General features: G+C 51.8%; 6 annotated features.

Annotated features, from left to right (window-relative positions):
* Positions 1,906-2,075: an enhancer, noted in NCBI's record as "experimental_13345 CRE fragment used in MPRA reporter constructs". NCBI's record gives its function as "activates a minimal promoter by MPRAs in K562 erythroleukemia cells, with activity observed for the introgressed 10:5631402 variant allele {active_cell/tissue: K562}" and the evidence as "EXISTENCE:reporter gene assay evidence [ECO:0000049][PMID:34662402]".
* Positions 3,201-4,008: an enhancer, noted in NCBI's record as "H3K27ac-H3K4me1 hESC enhancer chr10:5629384-5630191 (GRCh37/hg19 assembly coordinates)". NCBI's record gives its function as "activates a minimal SCP1, AML or CMV promoter by ChIP-STARR-seq in primed H9 embryonic stem cells {active_cell/tissue: H9 hESC(primed)}" and the evidence as "EXISTENCE:reporter gene assay evidence [ECO:0000049][PMID:30033119]".
* Positions 5,691-6,890: an enhancer, noted in NCBI's record as "CDK7 strongly-dependent group 2 enhancer chr10:5626502-5627701 (GRCh37/hg19 assembly coordinates)". NCBI's record gives its function as "activates an origin of replication core promoter dependent on BRD2, BRD4, P300/CBP, MED14 and CDK7 cofactors, with strong dependence on CDK7, by STARR-seq in HCT116 cells {active_cell/tissue: HCT116}" and the evidence as "EXISTENCE:reporter gene assay evidence [ECO:0000049][PMID:35650434]".
* Positions 7,497-8,025: an enhancer, noted in NCBI's record as "H3K27ac-H3K4me1 hESC enhancer chr10:5625367-5625895 (GRCh37/hg19 assembly coordinates)". NCBI's record gives its function as "activates a minimal SCP1, AML or CMV promoter by ChIP-STARR-seq in naive H9 embryonic stem cells {active_cell/tissue: H9 hESC(naive)}" and the evidence as "EXISTENCE:reporter gene assay evidence [ECO:0000049][PMID:30033119]".
* Positions 16,704-17,319: an enhancer, noted in NCBI's record as "H3K4me1 hESC enhancer chr10:5616073-5616688 (GRCh37/hg19 assembly coordinates)". NCBI's record gives its function as "activates a minimal SCP1, AML or CMV promoter by ChIP-STARR-seq in primed H9 embryonic stem cells {active_cell/tissue: H9 hESC(primed)}" and the evidence as "EXISTENCE:reporter gene assay evidence [ECO:0000049][PMID:30033119]".
* Positions 17,762-17,931: an enhancer, noted in NCBI's record as "experimental_13268 CRE fragment used in MPRA reporter constructs". NCBI's record gives its function as "activates a minimal promoter by MPRAs in K562 erythroleukemia cells, with activity observed for both the introgressed and non-introgressed 10:5615546 variant alleles {active_cell/tissue: K562}" and the evidence as "EXISTENCE:reporter gene assay evidence [ECO:0000049][PMID:34662402]".

Below are 20,229 nucleotides of genomic sequence, written 5' to 3'. Positions count from 1 at the left end.
CACCTCCCTGAACCTTCCAGCGCGCCACGTGAGAGTGGCAATCACATTCTCTCTTCCCCTTTAAGTTAGCGCTAATGGCCTAGTGTAGTGCTTCATGTATATGAAGCCTCAAAAAGTAAATGCAAAATGCACCTGTGCTTGAACTGCACAGACAGCATCATGCCTGGATCCTGGGAATAAGGATCTTATTATTCCCTGGATCCTGGGAATGATAAGATGAAGACTTCCAAGCATCCTGGGCAAAGCTCGACAGATAGGACAGAGAAAAAGAAAGACATGTGAACACCAGGGCGTAGCCCCCAGGAAGGGACACATGTGCGGGAGAAGGGAGGAGCAGGCGTTAAAGCGGGGCAGCCTGGAGGGCCTGGGTGAGGAGTTGAGTCTGGATGCTGGGGCTGCACTCACCCCGCCAGTCTGAAGGGTTCCTGGGCTTTCTCACCCTCCTGACCCCGCCCTCCCCCTGGCCCCTGGAGCGGGAGGGCTTCTGGCTCTGCTTCCTGCTCGAGTGCCCTCCACTCCATCTCTTTGTCATTGCCTTACTTTTTGGGGTGAGTACGAGGACAGAGTTGTAAGACAGTAGATGAACAGTACAGTGAGGTCTGAGACTAGGGGTGCATTTTGGAGAAGGGAGGCAGTTAGGGAGGGCCTGGAGCCCCCAGATCGGGAGAAGGAGGATAGGATAGTATAGAAAGCCAGGAAAAATCTAATCAAGCATAGCATCCAGTTACACTTCAGGTAAAATTCATGAGTCCTATCAAAAAGGCCTGGGGTTGGTTGCAATTAAGGGAGAGCAGCCCCCTCCCATGTGTGGGGTCCCCCGAAACCAGCCAGAGAGCCCCACTGGCAGGAATGGGAGGGTTCCAGGGAGGGGGGGCGCGGTGGGGGCTGGGGCTTGCCTACTGCCGGGTGGAGATTTTCTTTTTCCCTCCCCTGAGGGCCTTTTTCCTTCATGCTGGGTCTCTTTGGAGCAGGTTCGGGAAGTGAGTGGTGAGATGCCACGGTTTACCCCCAAACTTCTGCCTCACCAGCATTTGGAATTCCTGGTGTCAGCCCACTGCTCACTGAACGTTTTGCAAAGACGACATTTCATGAGACTGCTTAAATCAGCCACAAGGGGCCTGCCTGGGTTTGCTTGATCAGATTCTCTAGTCTGGAAACTGTGGGGTGAGGCCCAGCTTTGTGGCCAGATCAGGGCCCTGGAGATGACTTCCTGCCTTTATTCTTTCTAGCTGTGGTCCACCCTGCCCTACATCCAGATTAATCTTTGGAAAACCCCTACCGCTGTTCCTACCGCCATCCCCCTCCCTTTAAAACCTCTGACTCACCCACTACCCACAGGATTGAGACTAAGCTCTTTCCCTGGGCTTCAAGGCTGTCCCCAATTCCTCTCCCACCTTGTGATCCCTCCAGCGCCCCCTTACAGTTCACCCAGCCAGGAAGACGTCTTCATCAGGTCCCCACGAGCCCTGCCTGCTTCCACCCTCAGACCTCTGCTTCCACGCTTTCTCCATGCTGAAGGGAAGCTCAAATTCCATTCATGTCCCAAATCCTCAATGAAGCCTGCCCCGAACAACCTCGGCTGTGATAACCCTTCCCGGAACTTCCATCCCTGCTGTTATTGCAGCAACGCCTGTTTGCTTCTTACCGTTTGTTGCACTGGAAAGCCATAGATTTTTTTGATTCACGTATTCTCTCTAACTAGATAAGAATTCTGTTTTGGTTAAGGACTGTATCTCACACATAGGAGGCTCTGGTGCATGCACTTAATAGTTTCGCAACCCTAAGTGGGGCTTAGGGACAACAAGGCCACTAGGAACCAGGGCTGAGAGGGCTCAGAGGAGGTGGCCTCACATCTCAGGCTCTGGGATGATGCCTGATGAACTGGGGGCTGACAGGAGTCCCAAAGCACTGACTCCTCAGCCGCCGCAGATCAGAGCCTCGGGCTGGGGCTGGGCCATCAGGAATTGCTACAGGTGTTAGGTTGCAGCAGACAGAACCTTTCACCTTGGTTGTTTTCCGTGGAATACTATGTCAAGGAACCTTTGGAAACCAGAAGCAGGGCTGGGAATTGGGCAATGGGAGGGGACCCGCCCACCAGTGCTGCAGATGTGGGTGATGGTGCCTCCAGGACCAGCGGTGCCTGGGCTTCCTGTGCCTCACCCGGGCGCATCTCTGCACGGGCAGAACCTGCCCTCCTGGAGACTGGGCTCACCGGTCACCAGCAAGTCACTCCCCACCCACCTCCTCCCAGCCAAACCTTTGAGTGGCAGGAGGTGTCTTGTGGTTCCGCAGAGCCAGCCAGAGGCCCTGCAGGTGGGGTGAGGGCCTCCAGTGAAATCCACCTGCTCTGCCTCCTGCTTCTCAGTATTGCAACCCCCTTCCCGGTTCCGCTTTCTCTGCTGTTCCTTTTGTTCCTACCTCTGGCTAACCCAGCTTTGTCCCAAGCTGTCAACTCCATCATCTCCCCATTCCCAAGTGCCTCCGAGGGGCACCAGGAAAGCATGTGGGACCCATCCTGGCTGCCCAATAAATGGGCTTCAAAATAGCTTTGCTTAAGCTCCCTGGGGACACTCAGCCTCCCTGGCTCCTACTCCCCCATTTCTCGGTCACACAGTCCCAGCTGTGCCCAGGGAGAGGTTGTCACTCAACAGCCTGGGGCACAAGCCTATTTTTAGGTAGCCCCTGGTCTTCCCCAGCCACCTCCCCAAGAGCCCTCAGGTCCACCCTCCTGGGCTGACAGTGGCTGCATGTCCCTGGGTCTCCTTTAGGAAAGGTGGCCTCGGCTAGAAGCGTCCCGTGCCTAGCAGAGGAAACAGACAGGGAGTAACAGGAGAGGGGTCTTCTGGACAGAGAGGAAGTACTTGCTAAGTTCTGGGTGGGTTCTATGTGGAGTGGAGTTGGGGGACAACTGAGGCTGGTGACACCTGCCTTTATTCTGACTACAGGGGGTCCCAGAAGGCTGGGAAGGGGCCCCAAATTCAAAGAGGTTCTTTCCCTCAGGGCTGTGCAATTCTGTCGAATTCCTCATGACTCTCCTCCTCGCTTCCCTCACCAGTACATGGGTGGCCTTACTTGGTGGTAGGGCATAAAAGGGAAAAGCACTTGGAATGAGCGGCAGAGTGGCTGCCCTTTGATGGATCGCTTCTCTGGGTCTCAGTTTTCACATCTGTCCAGTGGGCATAATGAAATTCCAACCCCATCTATTGTGCAGGGTTGCTGTGAAAACACAACCTCGTACCTGAGGTCACAATGCCAGTGGGACATGATGTGTTTGCGTCACCTTCAAAATGCCCTCTGGTTTCTGGACAGGGATGCAGGAACAGTCCAGCACTGGAGAGAAGCTGCCTACTAGCTGAGTGCAAAGCCACGAGGGTGGTGCCTGTCACCTCGTCATTTTTCCAGTAGAGTCACACGTCAGTCTTCACCCACCGGTCTCTGAGGGCCCCTGGGTGAGGACCCCAAGTCTACGGTAGGAGGGGGCGCCTGGCTGTCATATTCTGCAGAGCAGACCTTGCTCTAGTGAACACTGAGGGTCTCTCGAAATGAAACTCTGATGTCAGTGCTCAAAGTCAACCCCCCAACAGGGGCAAGGAGGGGAATAAACAACAGCCAGGCCTGGGGAGCGCTCGCCCCTCCTGCCATGCGTGGCGTGTGAGTGAAGCCCCTGCCAGCATCAGGCCTCTGACATTCCCGAGGACATGGCTGCAGCCCCCGGAGGTGCTCCTGGTCCTGGAGCAGCCCCACCTGGTCCCAGGGGCTCAGGCTAGGTGAGCTGTGAGAGGGGAACTCAGAGCCAGCCCGGCCAGTGCCAGCTGTTGTTCCCCCGCCAGCTTGGCATCTCGAGGAGGGGTCATAACAAAAGAGACAGGGCCACTCCCTGAGCTGCAAGTTCTGGCCGGGAATCCAGTGGCGTCTGGGGGCCCCGCAGACAGCAGCCTGCCTTTCATGTGCTGAGCTGGGGGCCTGGAGGAAACATTTTCCATGCCTGCTGCCAAATTTCCTCAAAGAACAATGCAAGAGAAGATGCTGTTTTGCAGTCAGGGAAGCTGGAAGGGGGCGGTGGTGCAGGTTTCAGGAAGGTCAGAAGTCAGGCCATGAGCCTCTGGGAAGCTGCGCCCCCTCCCCTAGTAGAACAGGCATCCTGAGACTGTTCCCCTCCCGTGCCCAGGCCCTTCTCAGGGCAGGAGCTGCCGTCATTGTCATTTGCAGGGCACTTGGGCGGGTTGTAGGAAGCGGCTGCCCCAGCAGAGATGGCTGGTTTCCCCTGCTTCCCAGAGCTGTGGTGTCTAATTAGTGAGATGGAGGTGAAGGACACCTCTCAGTCATTGCTGCTGCTGCGAACAGCTGCCAACGTCATCACAAGGCATTTGTCAGGGGCCTGCAGGACTCACTGTAAGATGTGTGAACCCAAAAGTATCTGAGACAGGTCTCAATCCATTTCGAAAGTTCATTTTGCCAAGGTTAAGGACATGCCCGTGACACAGCCTCAGGAGGTCCTGACAACAGGTGCCCAAGGTGTTTGGGACTCAGCTTGGTTTTATACATTTTAGGGAGACATGAGACATCAATCAATATGTGTGAGATGTACATTGGTTTGGTCCAGAAAGGTGGGGCAACTCAAAGTGGGGGCTCCCAGGTTATAGGTAGATAAGAGACAAACAGTTGCATTCTTTTGAGTTTCTGATTAACTCAAATTAGCCTTTCACTGAATACACAATTTACATGTGAGAGAGGGGTAGGGGAACAATCACTGATGCCTCAGTCTGGCTCAGTGAATCTGCGTTTTTACATAGACAATAGAGCAGAGGAAACCATCACATATACACTGGTCTCATATGAACAGAGGGATGACTTTGAGTTCCATCTGTTCTTTGTCCACGAGGAATTTCCTTGTGGGTAAATTGTGAGCAAGGTATGTAAATTTTTGTCTGTGTAGTGATCTTATTTACGAATAAAATAGGAGGCAGGTTTGCCTGATGCAGTTCCCAGCTTGACTTTTCCCTTTGGATTAGCGATTTTAGGGTCCCAAAATGTATTTTCCTTTCACAGATGTTTTATGAAGACACTATCTCTGCTTTCTAGAAGATTCTAGTCTACATGGAAAAGGCAAGCAAGCATGGCAGAGTGAAAGGCAGCACTGTGGGTTAAGACCATGGACTCTGGAGTTTGCTGCCTGGTCTAAATCCCTAGTTACTTATGGGTCATGTACCATGCCTCAGTTTACCCCTCCAAAAATGAGGATGAAGATAACAACAGTGTCTCCTTTATGGAGTTGTTATAAGGATGAAATGAGTCACTGTTTGCAAAGCTCTTAGAACAGCATCTGGCGTCACACACCTGCAGTGTTTGCAAAATAAATAATACAAGAGTAAAATACAAAATTGGGCCTTGACAACTGGGATGAGACCACATTTAGTTTTGAAGATGAGGTTTGGCAGTTTTCCATCATGAGGGTTTTTTTTTCTAAGCATGGTTTCCATTGCTCCAAATCTGTTTTGGGTTTGTGGGAAAGGCAAATGGGAAAGAATGTGATTCTGAAATGCAGGGAACTTTACAAAGCTTTCAAAGATCACAGCTTCACCTTCCCGAGAGCAACTCCTGAAAACAGAGACCTGTGTTTCTGCAAAGCACTGTGCAAGTCGCCTCTCCAACAAGTCTGGGTGGATGGAGAAGTTTCCAGGCTCCCCTGAAATCAACACTCTCGTGTTGATGGGGAGAAATTAAGAACAAGAGGATTTGGCTAAGGTCCCAGCGTGCGATGGCGTCTGAGCTGAAGTGCTGGGCTGCCTACAGAAATCTCTTCTAGAGATTGAGCTGGAGTAGGATTTCTCTCCTCTGAACAAGTAGATGATTATACAATGTTCCATTCTCAGGGGGTAAAGCCCTCTCCAGTCTTCCCAAGACCCAGTGAAGAAGAAGAGAGGGTTCCTAGCTAAGGAAGGGAGACAAGGGTGGTGGCTTTCCACGGCTCCCGCACGTGCTGGGTGTGAAGCTGGTAGTGGAAGTGTGTTTCCTCAGCAGCTGTGAGTCCTCAGAATACTGGGTCCCCACGGACCAGCCAGCAGAGGGACAGCCCTTCCTTAGTGGGGCTCTCCAAGGGCCATAGGAGCACCATGGGCTGGTGCATGTGGCCTCGGGCTGCTCTGGGGAGAGGGTCATTGGTCCCTCTTACTCACCTCCTGTCGGGAGTGGCCAGACACAGCCTGACCATACAAGGGTGACTAGGAGTTTAGGTTCGAGAGTATTGAGGGTGGCCAGGCATTCCGAGTCCAGGGCCCTCCAGGCAAAAACAACTCATCAACCTTTTGAAAGCAACAGCTGAGTCACTAATACCATTAGCAACCAGAATTTGCACTTTCGGTGTGCCGGCATTCTTCTGAGTGTTTTACCTAGAGTCACTGACTCAATTCTCACTGAAACCCTAGGAGGGAGGCAGTGCTATTGCCTCCATTGTATAGATGAGGCAACTGACACTCAGAGAGGTGAAGTAACTTCCTCAAGGATACACAGCTTATAAACACTGGGATTCACACCCAGTTAGTTTGGCTCCAGCATTCCTGCTTTTGACCCCAACATTACACAGCCTCTGATTTATACAATTACAAACATTTTAAATACTGGAAGCTGAATTCAAACTGCATCCACCAACTTGACTTCTAAGACCCCATACACTTTACCTGAGGGGTGCTCAGCCACCAGGCAAAGAATGGGCTGCAGTGACACACTGGCACACGTGCCTCCCGCTTGCGTCTGTGTTCTAAGCTGCTGCGTCCCTGTTGATGTGCACTGAGCTTGCGAGTGATTTGGACTCTCGAGACAATTTCTTTTTTCTTTTCTTTTTTTTTTTTTGAGACGGAGTCTCGCTCTGGCTGGAGTGAAGTGGCGTGATCTTGGCTCACTGCAACCTCCACCTCCTGGGTTCAAACAATTCTCCTGCCTCAGCCTCCCAAGTAGCTGGGATTACAGGTGCCCGCCACCATGCCTGGCCATTTGTTTTTGTATTTTTAGTACAGACGGGGTTCTACCATGTCGGTCAGGCTGGTTTCAAACTCCTAACCTCAAGTGATCCACCTGCCTCAGCCTTCCAAAGTGCTAGGATTACAGGCCTGAGCTACCGCGCCCGGCCTCTCGAGACAATTTCTGTTCAGCCAACTTTTCCTATATCTTTCTCAAAATTATTAGTTTCCGCCCACTGTTCCAATCGAATATGGTCTCTTTTATGAATACCAGCTCTGTCGCCTGCAGCACATTTGCTCTCCCTGGAAGCTTTGGGTCATTTGTGGATCTGGACAGCGTGTTTTCACTGAAGCCGCTGGGTGAGAACAGTGGAGGCGCAGGCGCAGGCTGGGGGCTGGGCAGACACTTCCTTTAGGTGCTGCTGTGTATTCAGCTATGGATCCATCCACTGTGCACTCCCATCCAGCCGGTTTGTCCCAGAGGTGGTGGTAGGGAAGTTCCAGGACATTCCTGTTTCCTCCGCTGCCTTCTCTCTTAGCTGAGCCCTTTCTCACCTTTCCTCCCAGACCCTGTTCCCTCCCCTTACTTGCGGGGCATCCTCGGGGACAGGTTCTGAAACCACAGCTGTGGGCCAGCGTTCCACCTATTGTCTGCGAGCCAGCAGAGCAGAACAAACCTGCCTGAGATTCTCATTACAGCTTGTGATTTGGGAGACGGGCCAGCTGCGGCTGTTGCCAGGGCAACCAGTGGTGCGGAAAAAGGTAACAAAAAAGAGCCTGGAGCCTCTTGACCGGACTTCAGGAGTGAAGGAGTGGAGGGGAGGGCTCGGGCTTGCCATTCAGGAGCGATTGTTGACATGTCAACTGCAATCCCTCTGCCCCTCTCCAGGCCGGGACAGCCCCCAGCACAGCGCCCTGCCATGCACCACCAGCATGTGCCTGCTCTGTGTCTGTGTTTTCAGGGGTCCACTTGGCCCTGCGTAGCCTTTTCTCTTTTATGCATTTCCCCACTCACACTTGAATGTCTTCAATTCCTTCCTCCCTTTCTCTCATTCTCTTCTGCAGCCCCTTTCCCTCTCCTTTCCCACGTACCAGAACATCAGCCTCAAAAGATTAAAAGAAAATTAGCCAGGGGTGGTGACACGTGCCTGTAATCTAGCTACTCAGGAGGCTGAGGTGGGAGGCTCTCTTGAGCTCAGGAGGTGGAGGCTGCAGTGAGCTGTGATTGTGCCACCGCACTCCAGCCTGCGCGACACAAGTCCCCATGTCTCTAAAATAAAATTTAAAAAAATAATAAAATGAAATGTAAATAAGGCACGGGAGGGAACTGATGGTCCTGTGCTGGCAGATCCTGCGGCCTCAGCACCTAAGCGGCCAATGGGCAAAGGTGGTGAATTCAGCCTGTCTAGATAACCTGTGATTCATTGGTTGGGCAGTGATTTGTGACGAGCCCTGGGACGGTTTCTTTCCAGTTACCCACTGGACGTCTTGTGCTGCCATATCCTGGGGAGCCAGAGGGGGGCATTTTCCTTTGAAGGCTTTGAGAGTCATAGCCAAGCCCTTTTCTCCATGGCGTCCCTCCCTGACCCCACCCAACATTTCAGGAGTTAACCTTCCTAAGAGCCGAGCTCTGGCCGTTTTACTCATCGAAGAGGGAATCCCCTACACATTTTAGGTACTCACGCAGCTCGCTTGCCTGAGCACAGGCTTCGACCTTTACCTCACTTCTGGTAGGAGGTCTGTTTCATTCCCATCCAATCTGCAGGTTTTTCCCTAATCCCTTAAGGAAGCAGTAACTTCATGTTTCTCAGAATATCCTGATTGGAAGAATCACTCGGCAGCTTAGAGCACAGATTCCTGAGCCGCATCTCAGACCTACTGAATCAGAAACTCTGGGGAAGTTATCTGGGAATCTGCTTTAGAAAAATTGCCCCCGGTGATGCTCATGTTAGGAGAGGTTTGGGGAACAAAGCCCAAGTGCTGATTTTCGCTTCTCGGGCTCAGCACTTGGGTTCTGTCTGGGCCTCAGGGTACTCTTTCATCTGCAAGGTGGAACTGATCCTCACAGCTCTGCTATCCTGCCCACAAACTTCCCAGACCAGGGAGGCTCTGGGGAGGCATGGCCGGCCTGGTGCTGGCCCAGTGTGGTCAGGACTAGGTCATGCCCCTGTTGCCCATGGCTCACCATGCTGTGGATATCACATCCATCCATGCCTATTGGCTCATGGCAGCTTAAGCCCTAGAAAGAACAGGTGGGAGAACTTTAGCTCTATGTGCCCACCAGGGATCTCACACCTCCTGGCTGCAGGAGCTGGACGGGAGGTCACCTGGCTTTGATGTAAGCTGCCACCTCTTTATGCATCCATCCTGCGAGCACTTGACATGCTATTGCTCTGCGGCATCGTGGCAGCGCTGTATACCGAGAGGAATGCAGGGTTTAGGGCTCAAAAGCTCTGGTTGAATCCTGGCTGCCACTTGCTACCTGTGGGGTCCTGGAGCACTTCCTTTCCTTATCTGTAAAACATGGATAACAACCAACTTCACAGGGTTGCTGTGAAAATTAAGTATGAAAAATTTCCAGCAGAGTGCTTTGCAGATAGAGAACTCGATGCATGTCAGTTCCCTTTCTGTTCATTTTCTCTCTTCCTGTTCAGGTACAGGCTGATTCATTAAACCTCTCTCACTTCTTCTTTCAGATCCCATTAAAACACTTCTGAAGAAAGGTCAAGATACAAAAATCAATTGTATTTTCATATAGTAGCACCAAACATTTGGGAACTGATATTTAAAAAACCAATTCCATTTACAATAGTGTCAAAAAACATAAGATAATTAGCAACAGATTAATAAAAGATGGGAAATATTCAATATCAATACTGAAAACACAAGATGATGCTGAGAGAAATTAAAGAAGATGTAAATACATGGAAAGATATACTATGTTCATGGATTGGACAACTCAGTATTAATATGTCAGTTCCCCCTAAGCTGAAGTATGGCTTCAACACAATCCCAATAGGCTTTCATTTAAAACAAATATAAATTGACAAATGAATTTTAAAATTTGGAAATGTAGAGACTTAGAATAGGCAAAACAATTTAGGAAAAGAAGAAAAAGTTGGAGAGCTTACACTACCTAACATCAAGTTTTACTGTAAAGCTAGCTATTTAAATAGTGTGGTATTGACCTAAGAATAGACAAATAGATGAGTGGAGCTCAGAAGTAGACCCACACTGACATGAACAATTGACTGTTGACAAAATTATCAAAGCAATTCAACAGGGAAAGGATGGCCTTTTCAACAAATGGTGGTGGTGGTCAGGCGTGGTGGCTCATCATGCCTGTAATCCCAGCACTTTGGGAGGCCAAGGCAGGCGGATCACCTGAGGTCAGGAGTTCGAGACCAGCCTGGCCAACATGGTGAAACCCCATCTCTACTAAAAATACAAAAATAAGCCAGGCCGGGGGATGGGGGCACCTGTAATCCCAGCTACTTGGGAGGCTGAGGCAGGAGAATCACTTGAACCCGGGAGGCATAGGTTGCAGTGAGCTGAGACTGCGCCATTGCACTCCAGCCTGGGCAACAAGAGAGAGACTCCATCTCAAAAAACAACAAACAAACAAACAAACAAAACATCCCCTCCCCAAAAAATGGTTCTGGAACAGCTGAATATCCATGGGAAAAACATTAACTTTGACTATTCCCTCGCCATACACAAAATTAAGTCAAGATTGGTCATAAACTCAAATATGAAAGCAAAACCCATAAAAGCTTTTTGAAGAAAATGGGAAATGAAGGATAATATCTTTGTGGTCAAGGAGCAGACAAAGATTTCTTTGTTAGAATACAGAAAACAATAACCATGAAATAAACAGTTAATGAATTAGACGTTAAAAAAATTAAAAACTTCTGCTCATCAAAGCAAGCGTCATAATGGACAAGCCACAGACTCAGAAAAATATTTGCATTTGCAAAACCTGTGTCTGACAAAGGATTTATGAGAATTTATAAAGAACTCCTACAACCTAATAATAAAAACACAAACAGCCCAATTAAAAAATGGGCAAAAGTCTTGATGGCCCCTCCTTATTTCTTTATAGAAATATATTAGGGTCAGAGGCAGTGGCTCACACTTGTAATCTCAGCACTTTGGAAGGCTGTGGTGGGCGGATCACTTGAGGTCAGGAGTTCAAGACCAGCTTGGCCAACATAGTGAAACCCTGTCTCTACTAAAAATACAAAAATTCGCCAGGTGTGGTGGCACATGCTGGTAATCCCAGCTACTTGGCAGGCTGAGGCGGGAGGATCACTTGAACTCAGGAGGCAGAGGTTGCAGTGAGCCGAGGCACTGTACTGCAGCCTGGGCTCAGAGTGAGACTCTATTTCAAAAAAAAAAAAAAATATATATATATATATATACACACACATATATTTTCAACTGGCCAATAAATAAATGAAAAGATGCTCAACATTATTACTTCTTAGAGCAATGAAATGAAAACCACAATGCAATACTACGTCCCCCACTAGAATGGCTAAACTTAAGAAGCTTTACGACATCAAGTGCTGGCAAGGACAGGGGGCAACCTGAACTCTCTCATATGTGGCTGGTTGGAGTACAGGATGGTGTAACCACCTTGGAAAAGGGTTTGGTGCTTATAAAGTTAAACAAATACCTACCCTATGACCCAGACATCTCACTGCAAGATATCTATCAAAAGGAAATGAAAGCATATGTCTACAAACAACCTGTACAAGAATGTTCATAGCAGCTTTATTTATGATAGCGAAAACCGGGAAGCAACGTCTATCAGAAAGAGAATGAATGAACGAATTCTGTTATATTCTCATAACGGACTCCTGCACCACAATGAAAAGAACTAAAAAGACATGGATGAATCCTGCAGACATGGCACCGAGCCAAAGAAGCCGGATACAGAAGAGTGCACGGATGTGTGGATGTTTTTTTTTTTTTTCGAGATGGAGTCTCACTTTGTTGCCCAGGCTGGAGTGCAGTGGCATGATCTTGGCTCACTGCAGCCTCTGCCTCCCTGGTTCAAGCAATTCTGCTGCCTCAGCCTCCTGAGTAGCTGGGGTTACAGGCGTGCACCACCATGCCCGGCTAATTTTTGTATTTTTAGTAGAGAGGGGTTTCACCATGTCGGCCAGGCTGGTCTTGAACTCCTGACCTCAGGAAATCCACCCGCCTTGGCCTCCCAAGTGCTGGGATTACAGGCATGAGCGACAAGCCTGGCCCCCTTTTTTTTTTTTGAGACAGAGTCTTGCTCTGTCTCCTAGGCTGGAGTGCAGTGGTACGATCTTGGTTCACTGCCTCCCAAGTTCAAGTGATTTTTGGTCCTCAGCCTCCCGAGTAGCTGGGATTACAGGTGCCCACCACCACACCCAGATAATTTTTGTATTTTTAGTAGAGATAGGGTTTAGCCATATTGGCTAGGCTCGTCTTGAACTCCTGATCTCAAGTGATCTGCCTGCCTCAGACTCCCAAACTGCTGGGATTACAGGCGTGAGTCACTGCGCCCAGACTTGCTTCCATTTAGATGGAGCCCCAGCTCAGCAAACCCAGTCTATATTGAGAGAAATCAGATCCGTGGCTGCTGCTGGGTGAGAACTTGGTCAGGAGGGGGCCAAATGGAGCTTTCTAGCATGGTAAACACATGCCATATGACTTGGTAGGGATGTGAGCCGCATGCATGGATTGTACATTAAAATGCACTGGACTGTACATTTCAGGTTTCATTGTGTGTAAATTTTACTTCTGAAACACTATGAACAGATATTGACCCTGGTGAGTAGGTTTGCTTTTCTCAGTGGTAGGGGTTAACAATTCTGAAACCATTTTCTGTTTACCAGAGGTTTAAGCAAGTGAGAAAACGTAATAAAATGGGAGGCAGCCTTCTGGCTGGGAAGGGGCAGAGTATCTGTGACCTTCTGCTGGTTCCCGATAATGGCCTTGGGGTCCGTCTCCCAAGCACCTCTGCTGGGGCTGCCCCTCAGCCCTCCCGCGTGTTGGGGCGGTGGTGGGGACAGTTCCCATGTGTGTTCGTGAAGCCCGCCCAGAACTTCAGCACCTTGGGCCGGGCACGGTGGCTCACACGTGTAATCCCAGCACTTTGGGAGGCTGAGGCGGGCAGATCATGAGGTCAGGAGTTCAAGACCAGCCTGAACAACTTGGTGAAACCCTGTCTCTACTAAAAATTACAAAAATTAGCCGACTAAAAATTACAAAAATTAGCCGGGCGTGGTGGTGCGTGCCTGTAATCCCAGCTACTCAGGAGGCTGAGGCAGAAGAATTGCTCGAACCTGAGAGGCGGAGATTGCAGTGATCGGAGATCGTGCCATTGCACTCCAGCCTGGGCGACAGAGTGAGACGCCATTTCAAAAAAAAACGAAGAACTTCAGCACCTTTAACATTGGGCACACGCTGAGCTGTAAGTAGGGGACGGAGGTGCCAGAGGAGGGACAAAGGATAACCAAGGCCTCCTAACACCTGGGCCATGGGGGTTTAGGCATGCATCGTTTTTAGCTTCTTGTCGTGGAGATCACGCTGTGTATTTCATTATACATACTTTGCATTCATTTAGGTTGCTTGCTTGGTTCATATACACACCCTTTACCTCTATGGGGATGATGTGCTGAGGAACAAGGCGTGTGTGGGGTGTGTGTGTGTGGGGTGTGGCTGTGGTGTGTGTGCGGGGTGTGCGTGTGTGTGGGGGTGTGTGTGCGGGGTGTGTGTGTGGGGGTGTGTGTGCGGGGTGTGTGTGTGGGGGTGTGTGTGTGCGGGGTGTGTGTGTGTGTGGGTGTGTGCAGGGTGTGCGTGTGCAGGGTGTGTGTGTGCGGGGTGTGTGTGTGCGGGGTGTGTGTGTGCGGGGTGTGTGGGTGCGGGGTGTGTGTGTGCAGGGTGTGTGGGTGCGGGGTGTGTGTGTGCGGGGTGTGTGTGTGTGCGCGGTGTGTGTGTGTGCGGGGTGTGCGTGTGCGGGGTGTGTGGGTGCGGGGTGTGTGTGCGGGGCATGTGTGTGGGGTGTGTGTGTGCGGGGTGTGTGTGTGGGGTGTGTGTGTGGGGGTGTGTGTGCGGGGCATGTGTGTGGGGCGTGTGTGCGGGGTGTGTGTGTGGGTGTGTGTGCGGGGTGTGCGTGTGCAGGGTGTGCGTGTGCGGGGTGTGCGTGCGCGGGTTGTGTGTGTGCGGGGTGTGTGTGTGCGGGGTGTGTGTGTGGGGTGTGTGTGTGGGGTATGTGTGTGCGGGGTGTGTGTGTGTGGGGGGTGTGTGTGCGGGGCATGTGTGTGGGGTGTGTGTGTGTGCGTGCGGGGTGTGTGTGTGCGGGGTGTGTGTGCGCGGGGTGTGTGGGTGCGGGGTGTGCGTGTGCGGGGTGTGTGTGTGCGCGCGGTGTGTGTGTGCAGGGTGTGTGTGCGCATGTGCATGTGTGTCTGAGTGTGTCAGCATGTGCCTGTGAGCGTATACATGTGCAGGCGTGTGCAGGCTCGGGTGTCAGCATCTGAGCATGTGCACACTCGCAGGGGAGCTCTGGGGCCCAGGGCTGCCTTCTGTTTCCCTGAGTACAAGGTCCTGAGCTCAGGGACTAGGCCCTGAGGAAACAGGAGCCCAGCTCTTGGAACGTCCCAGGAACCCCTACTAGAAACACGTGCGTTTCAAGGAAAAACTGAAGGTTTTTCTTTGGTGTCTGGCATCTGCGTCTTTCCCTCTCTTTAGCCCCTGACTGCTCCTCCTTGTCCCCACTGAGAGGGAGTGGCAGCAAAGGTCTGGGGGGACCAAGGGCAGAGAAGCTGTGTGTGTGCAGGGAGTAGGGGCTGTGGCCTCTTCACAGGAGTGAGAGACGGAGACAGAGACAAAGAGAAAGACAGAGAGAGACAGGGAGAGACACAGAGAGACAGTGAGAGAGAGTGACAGAGACACAGAAAGAGACACAGAGACAGAGACCGAAAGATGGAGACAGAGACAGAGAGAGACAGAGAGAATGAAAGAGAGTGACAGAGAGACACAGAAAGAGACACAGAGACAGAGACAGATGGAGACAGAGACAGGGAGACAGAGACAGATAGAGACAGAGAGAGACAGAGACAGAGAGACAACGAGAGTGAGAATGACAGAGAGATACACAGAAAGAGACACAGAGACAGAGGGAGAGTGAGACAGAGAGAGAGAGACAGAGAGAGAGGGAGAGACAGGTAGAGAGGGAGGGAGGGAAGGAGGGAGGGAGGGAGTGGGCACCATGGGTCTGAGGCTGTGTTTGGGGGAGGGTGGCGCAGCAGGCAGGAGAGCCCAGGAAAGGGTGGGCCTGGCCTTGGCCTGTGCTGCTCCTGTGCCCCTGCTGAGGGAGAGACCTCCTGGCATCCGCTGCGGGCGCTGGGCCCACCCCCGAGCTTGTTTCTGAGCTGCCGGGCAGAGGACATACTGGGCAGAACAGGCCTCGGTCTGGGGCAGGTGGCAGAGGGGAAAGATGCCCCTCTCACCCGGCCCCCACCCAGCTGGCCAGGAAGGCCCCTTGTCCCCTCCTGAGGCCCACCCTCAGCCACCTGGTCTGAGCAGGTGCAGGTGAGACCGCGGAACAGCCAGGTCCTCTCCAGTCACACCTCTCACCGCTCGCGTTCTGTGTGGCTCTGGCGAGCCCATTAGTGCCTGTCAAGAGCCTCCCTCGGAGCCACAGCTTCTCTCCGCCAGGTCCTGCTTTGGGGTCACAATAAAGCCCTCACCTTGTGGGGGGCTGGTTTCTGTGACATCCACGCCGTTAGATTAACGACAGAAATGAGGTAGTTCCCCCTTTAAGGAATTAGGCACAAAATCAGCATGTGACTCATCGGCCCCCACAAGTTTACAAGGGAGTTGAGTAAAAGCAACCTCACAGGGATAGAGCAGTGCCAGGAGAAAATGGAAACATCTTTCCTTTAACTCTGGAATGTGTTACGGCTCTTCCTGCTTTCTGAGCGCCGCCACCTTTCGAGGGCCTGTAATTAGGAAGGAACCTTTTCTCTTGGGGTTATTGATGCTTTCCCTTCTCACTCGGCACAAATATTCAAGAACGATCTCTCTCCTTCACCTACAGACCACCCAGTCTGTGCCGAGTGCCTGCCTCCCGGGGCCACGTGGTGGATCAGAGACCACTGCTGTGCTGGGTGAGACCAGGTGCCATCCAGCCCAGGAGCAGCGAGAGTCTCAACTGCACGGGGCTGCCACCTGCCTCACACACACACTCTAATCCCAAGGCCATGGGACTTTATAAATGGGGAACCAGAGGCACAGAGAATGAAAATGCCATGGCTAGTAAACGAGATGAGGGCCAAGCCACGCTCCTACCCCTGCCAGGATGGCCTTGTGGGAGTGACGGGTCAGAGAGGGCTCATCACAAGCAAGTGACATCCATGTGGGGGCCCAAGCAGGAGGCTTTCCAGAGAAGGAAGGCATGGAGAAGAGGGACCTGGTCCCTGCAGTGTGGGTGGGGCAGGAGGCTGTGCCCTGCAGGGGTGTGGGAGAGCAGCTTGGACCTGGGCAGGCAGCGTCCGAGCGTCTGCACGGGCTGGCTGTGCATCTGTGGACGTGCCTTTGAGTGTCCCGTAGCCTGTATTATTTAAGGTCACTGCGCGTTTACGATGACTGCCAGAAAGCAGCAGGTGCCTGTGAGTGCAGCTGGGACCCTGCCCTGTGGCCTTTGGATCCTGAAGAATGTGCTGGATCATGAACCAGGTGCAGGGGAGGGTGAAGTCCTGCAGCAGAAAGGCATGTGATGGAGAGGAGGTCTCCCTCGCGGCGGGACCCCAGGCAGGCCACTTTCTGTGAGCCTCGGTTTCCTCATCCATGACACCGGGCCCTCAGGGGTGGCTGAGAGGATGGAATGGGTTAATAGATGATCAGCATTTGTCCCATGAGCGTTCTCTGTAAGAGCTGGGGGGTGGCGTCATTGCGTTGCTGTGATAAGGGTCGGGACCCCTGGGTTCCAGCCTTACTCTTCTTACTCAGTTCCTCTCATCCCCGCAGCCTCTCTGCACCTCTCTCTTCCCCTTCTTGGTGCCTTTCACTCAGACTGTGACTGGTCCAGAGAAATCTGTGTGTGCCGGCCCTTCGAGGGGGCTCCTGCATGGGGGCAACCCCGCCGCCCCACCTGCTGACCTCATGAAGTCTCATAACCTGATTCTTCTTTCTCGGCTGGCTGTGCAGCAGGCCTGGGCAGCCCGGGAGCTTCTGCCCGTCAGATAATTAAATTCCTCGTGTATTTATCAGGCCGAGAACACCCTGTACCACTCACTCTGGTGGAGCAGCTGCCTATTGTCCTGAACCTCCTGTAAGATGACCTCGTAGCAGGCCCAGGCACTGCAGGAAGTTGCTGGGTGCGTGGAGGTGGATGCTGTTCTCAGATGTCACACACACAGAGCCAGCATCTCACGCCAGTGACAGAGCCGCTGAGGTGTGATGAAGGCCGGATTTGCAACTTAATGGGCCCTGACCTAGGAACCCAGTTTGGCTGCTAGAGGTTTCTGGTCCTCAAATAACAATAACCACCTCCTGGGGCTATCATGAGAATTTTATGAGATAATGCATCAAAAACTCTTAGCAGAGACCTTGACTCATGGCGAGTTCTCAGTAAGTTGTGAGACTATGCACCAACTTCCTTTACGGGATGAATACGGAACACTGGTTGATTTGCTCACGTTTCCAACCTGGGACACTCGATGCCACTGACTTATATATCTGCATAGCCCGCCAGCCTGCGAGTCCTTCCAGCTCTGCTTGCTAAATTGTCACATCTGCCCTAGAAGATGTCAGTCACCCAGTGGAAATGTCTCCAGGGAAGTGGATATTCCTGCTAGAAGTGGACTGGGTGGGAGTTGGGAGTCTCAGTGTATTCTCTGGCTGCTCTCGTCACTTGCCCGCTGCATGATTTCTCTTTGCTTAATGTTTAATTTCTCTCAGGGGCCTGGATGAGCTGGGTTAAATAACTCTGGTGAGGGAGCCTGGAGGATCACTGGGGAAAGTCATCGTCTTTGTCCTCAGCAGTGTATTTAATCCTCTGAACTTTAGGTTTCCCTCTCTTCCCTCCCTCCCTCCCTCCCTCCCTCCCTCCCTCCCTTCCTTCCTTCCTTCCTTCTTTCTTTCCTTCCTTCCTTCCTTCTTTCCTTGACAAGGTCTCATTCTGTCACCCAGGCTGGAGTGCAGTGGCATGATCTCAGCTCACTGCAGCCTTGACCTCCTGGGCTTAAGCGATCCTCCCACCTCAGCCTCCTGAGTAGCTGGGACTACCTGTGCACACCACCATGCCTGGCTAATTTTTGTATTTGTTGTAGAGTCAGGGTCTCACTATGTTGGCCAGGTTGGTCTTGAATTCTTGGGCTCAAGTGATCCTCCCACCTCGGCCTCCCAAAGTGCTGGGACTACAGGCATGAGCCACCACACCCAGCCAACTTTAAGTTCTTTATGCTGTCATGCAGGCCTGCATGGCCCAATGGATCAGCTCCAGACTTTGTGGCCATAAAAAGCCGCGTGAGCAAGTGCATCACAAGCACATGCCAAGGAGAGGCAGAAGGAAGCATTTTGGTGCTTGTCTGGAGAAGGCTGAATGGAACTGGGGAGGAGGTTTTTGGATCTGTGTGAGCCCATCCCAGTGAAGAAGCAAAGAGCCACTCTTTCTAGTGCTGGGCGTGTAGAGCTTGGGGCTTTGCAATCCGAATGGGTTTGAGAAGTGGGCAGGCCTACAGCTGTTGGCCGAGTGCTCAGAGGCTGCAGACATGCTTGTTCTTGTATGTGAGATGTGGCAATGACAAGAAGAGAGAGGTTAGGAGGCTGATGCGGCTCCTCCAAGCCTAGGGATGGACTCTTGGGGTTCTGCCTCCTGGAGGGGCAGGAGTGACCCAGACCCTTCTGCAACAGCTCCAGCTCCTGGAGGATGGGGCGCCAGCTGCCCTGAGTGGTGCTGGCCACTGTGCCACCTGGCTGTCGCCCTCTAAGAAGGTCCTGCTGTCATGCCTTCCTCCTGACTGCTGACAAATATTCTCGGGGGAAGAAGCTGGTACGGAGCCTACTGGTTGTGCTCTGAGAAACCTCTTCCATGGCTAAAACCAAATTTCAGGATAGATAAGAGCAGCTCCTCAGAAGAGAAAGTTGGGAATCTCTGACCTGGATCAGGAGCAAACACATCCAAGCCCCTAATGGTGCATAAGCGCGGTGTTAAACGGCTCTGTTCCCGGCCAGCCCGGACCAAACCTACAGCCCAAAGGGGGAAGAAAACCCATCAACGAAATCACTTTTAAGATCCATGGTTGTCCCCCATTCGATAACCATGAATCGACTGTCCAGGCTGCATTTATCCAGCTGCAAGAATTCTAAAGAGAATGAGTTGCCCACTGATGCCCCTGGGCTGGGCCCAAGGTGTGGGGCCAGGTGTGAGGAGCTGTACCGGCCCCAGGAGGCGCCCATGTGGAGAATCTCTGTCCTTTGCACCTGGACCTGTGGGCTTTGAGAGCTCGGGCCCCAATTATGGCCAGAGCTAGGGTTGGTCTTCCTCTGCCCTGCAAATCCCAGATGTAGTAAGCATTCAGTACATTGTGTTAATAAATATCCATAAACTTGCATCAACTTATAAAAAGTATTGATAAATTTTGCTTCCATTCACCTTAGTGAGTAGATGGTCCATGGGATGAACCTTGATCCAAGAACCCTTCCGTCTGACTCCACCATCCAACGAGTTTTGGCTGCCAGCAAACTACCTCCTCTGGACCTTTGATCTCAGGTCCAGAGAACAAAGGCTGTGATCAGGAACGCAGGGTCCCCGAGGATAAGGACCTGGGCTCCTGTAGGGGCCTGGCGCTGGGCCTGGGAAGCTCTTTGTTTGAGTGTCCAAGCCTGGAGTGTGCGGGTCCCCACCCAGTAAGCACACCACTCACACTTGTAAACAAGGCATAAAACACACATTTGTGTAAATGCATGAACAAAAATGCAAGGAGGTTCAAACTCTGTCGCTATGAATAGATAGGACTTTGTTTACAAAGCAATGGGTTCTATGAACAGAAGGGACCTGCTGAACCTCTGAGCCCTGTCCCTCCATCTGTTTGCAGCTGTGAAGGTCAAAGTTCTCTGGGACACCATGATCTTGGGATCCAGTCCCTAGGGCTAGACTGTCCCAGGATGGAGAATATTATAATACTAGTTTCTAGATATCAACCACCGCCTCTGTTCCAGTGCATTAGGTACACGAATCCTTCTAATTACTCTGCGAGGTGGGTTTTGTAAATCCATTTAGCAGTTGAGA

This window comes from Homo sapiens, chromosome 10 (assembly GCF_000001405.40).
Source record: "Homo sapiens chromosome 10, GRCh38.p14 Primary Assembly".
In the NCBI taxonomy this organism is placed as follows: domain Eukaryota; kingdom Metazoa; phylum Chordata; class Mammalia; order Primates; family Hominidae; genus Homo; species Homo sapiens.
This window is presented reverse-complemented; position numbering and strand designations above follow the sequence as displayed.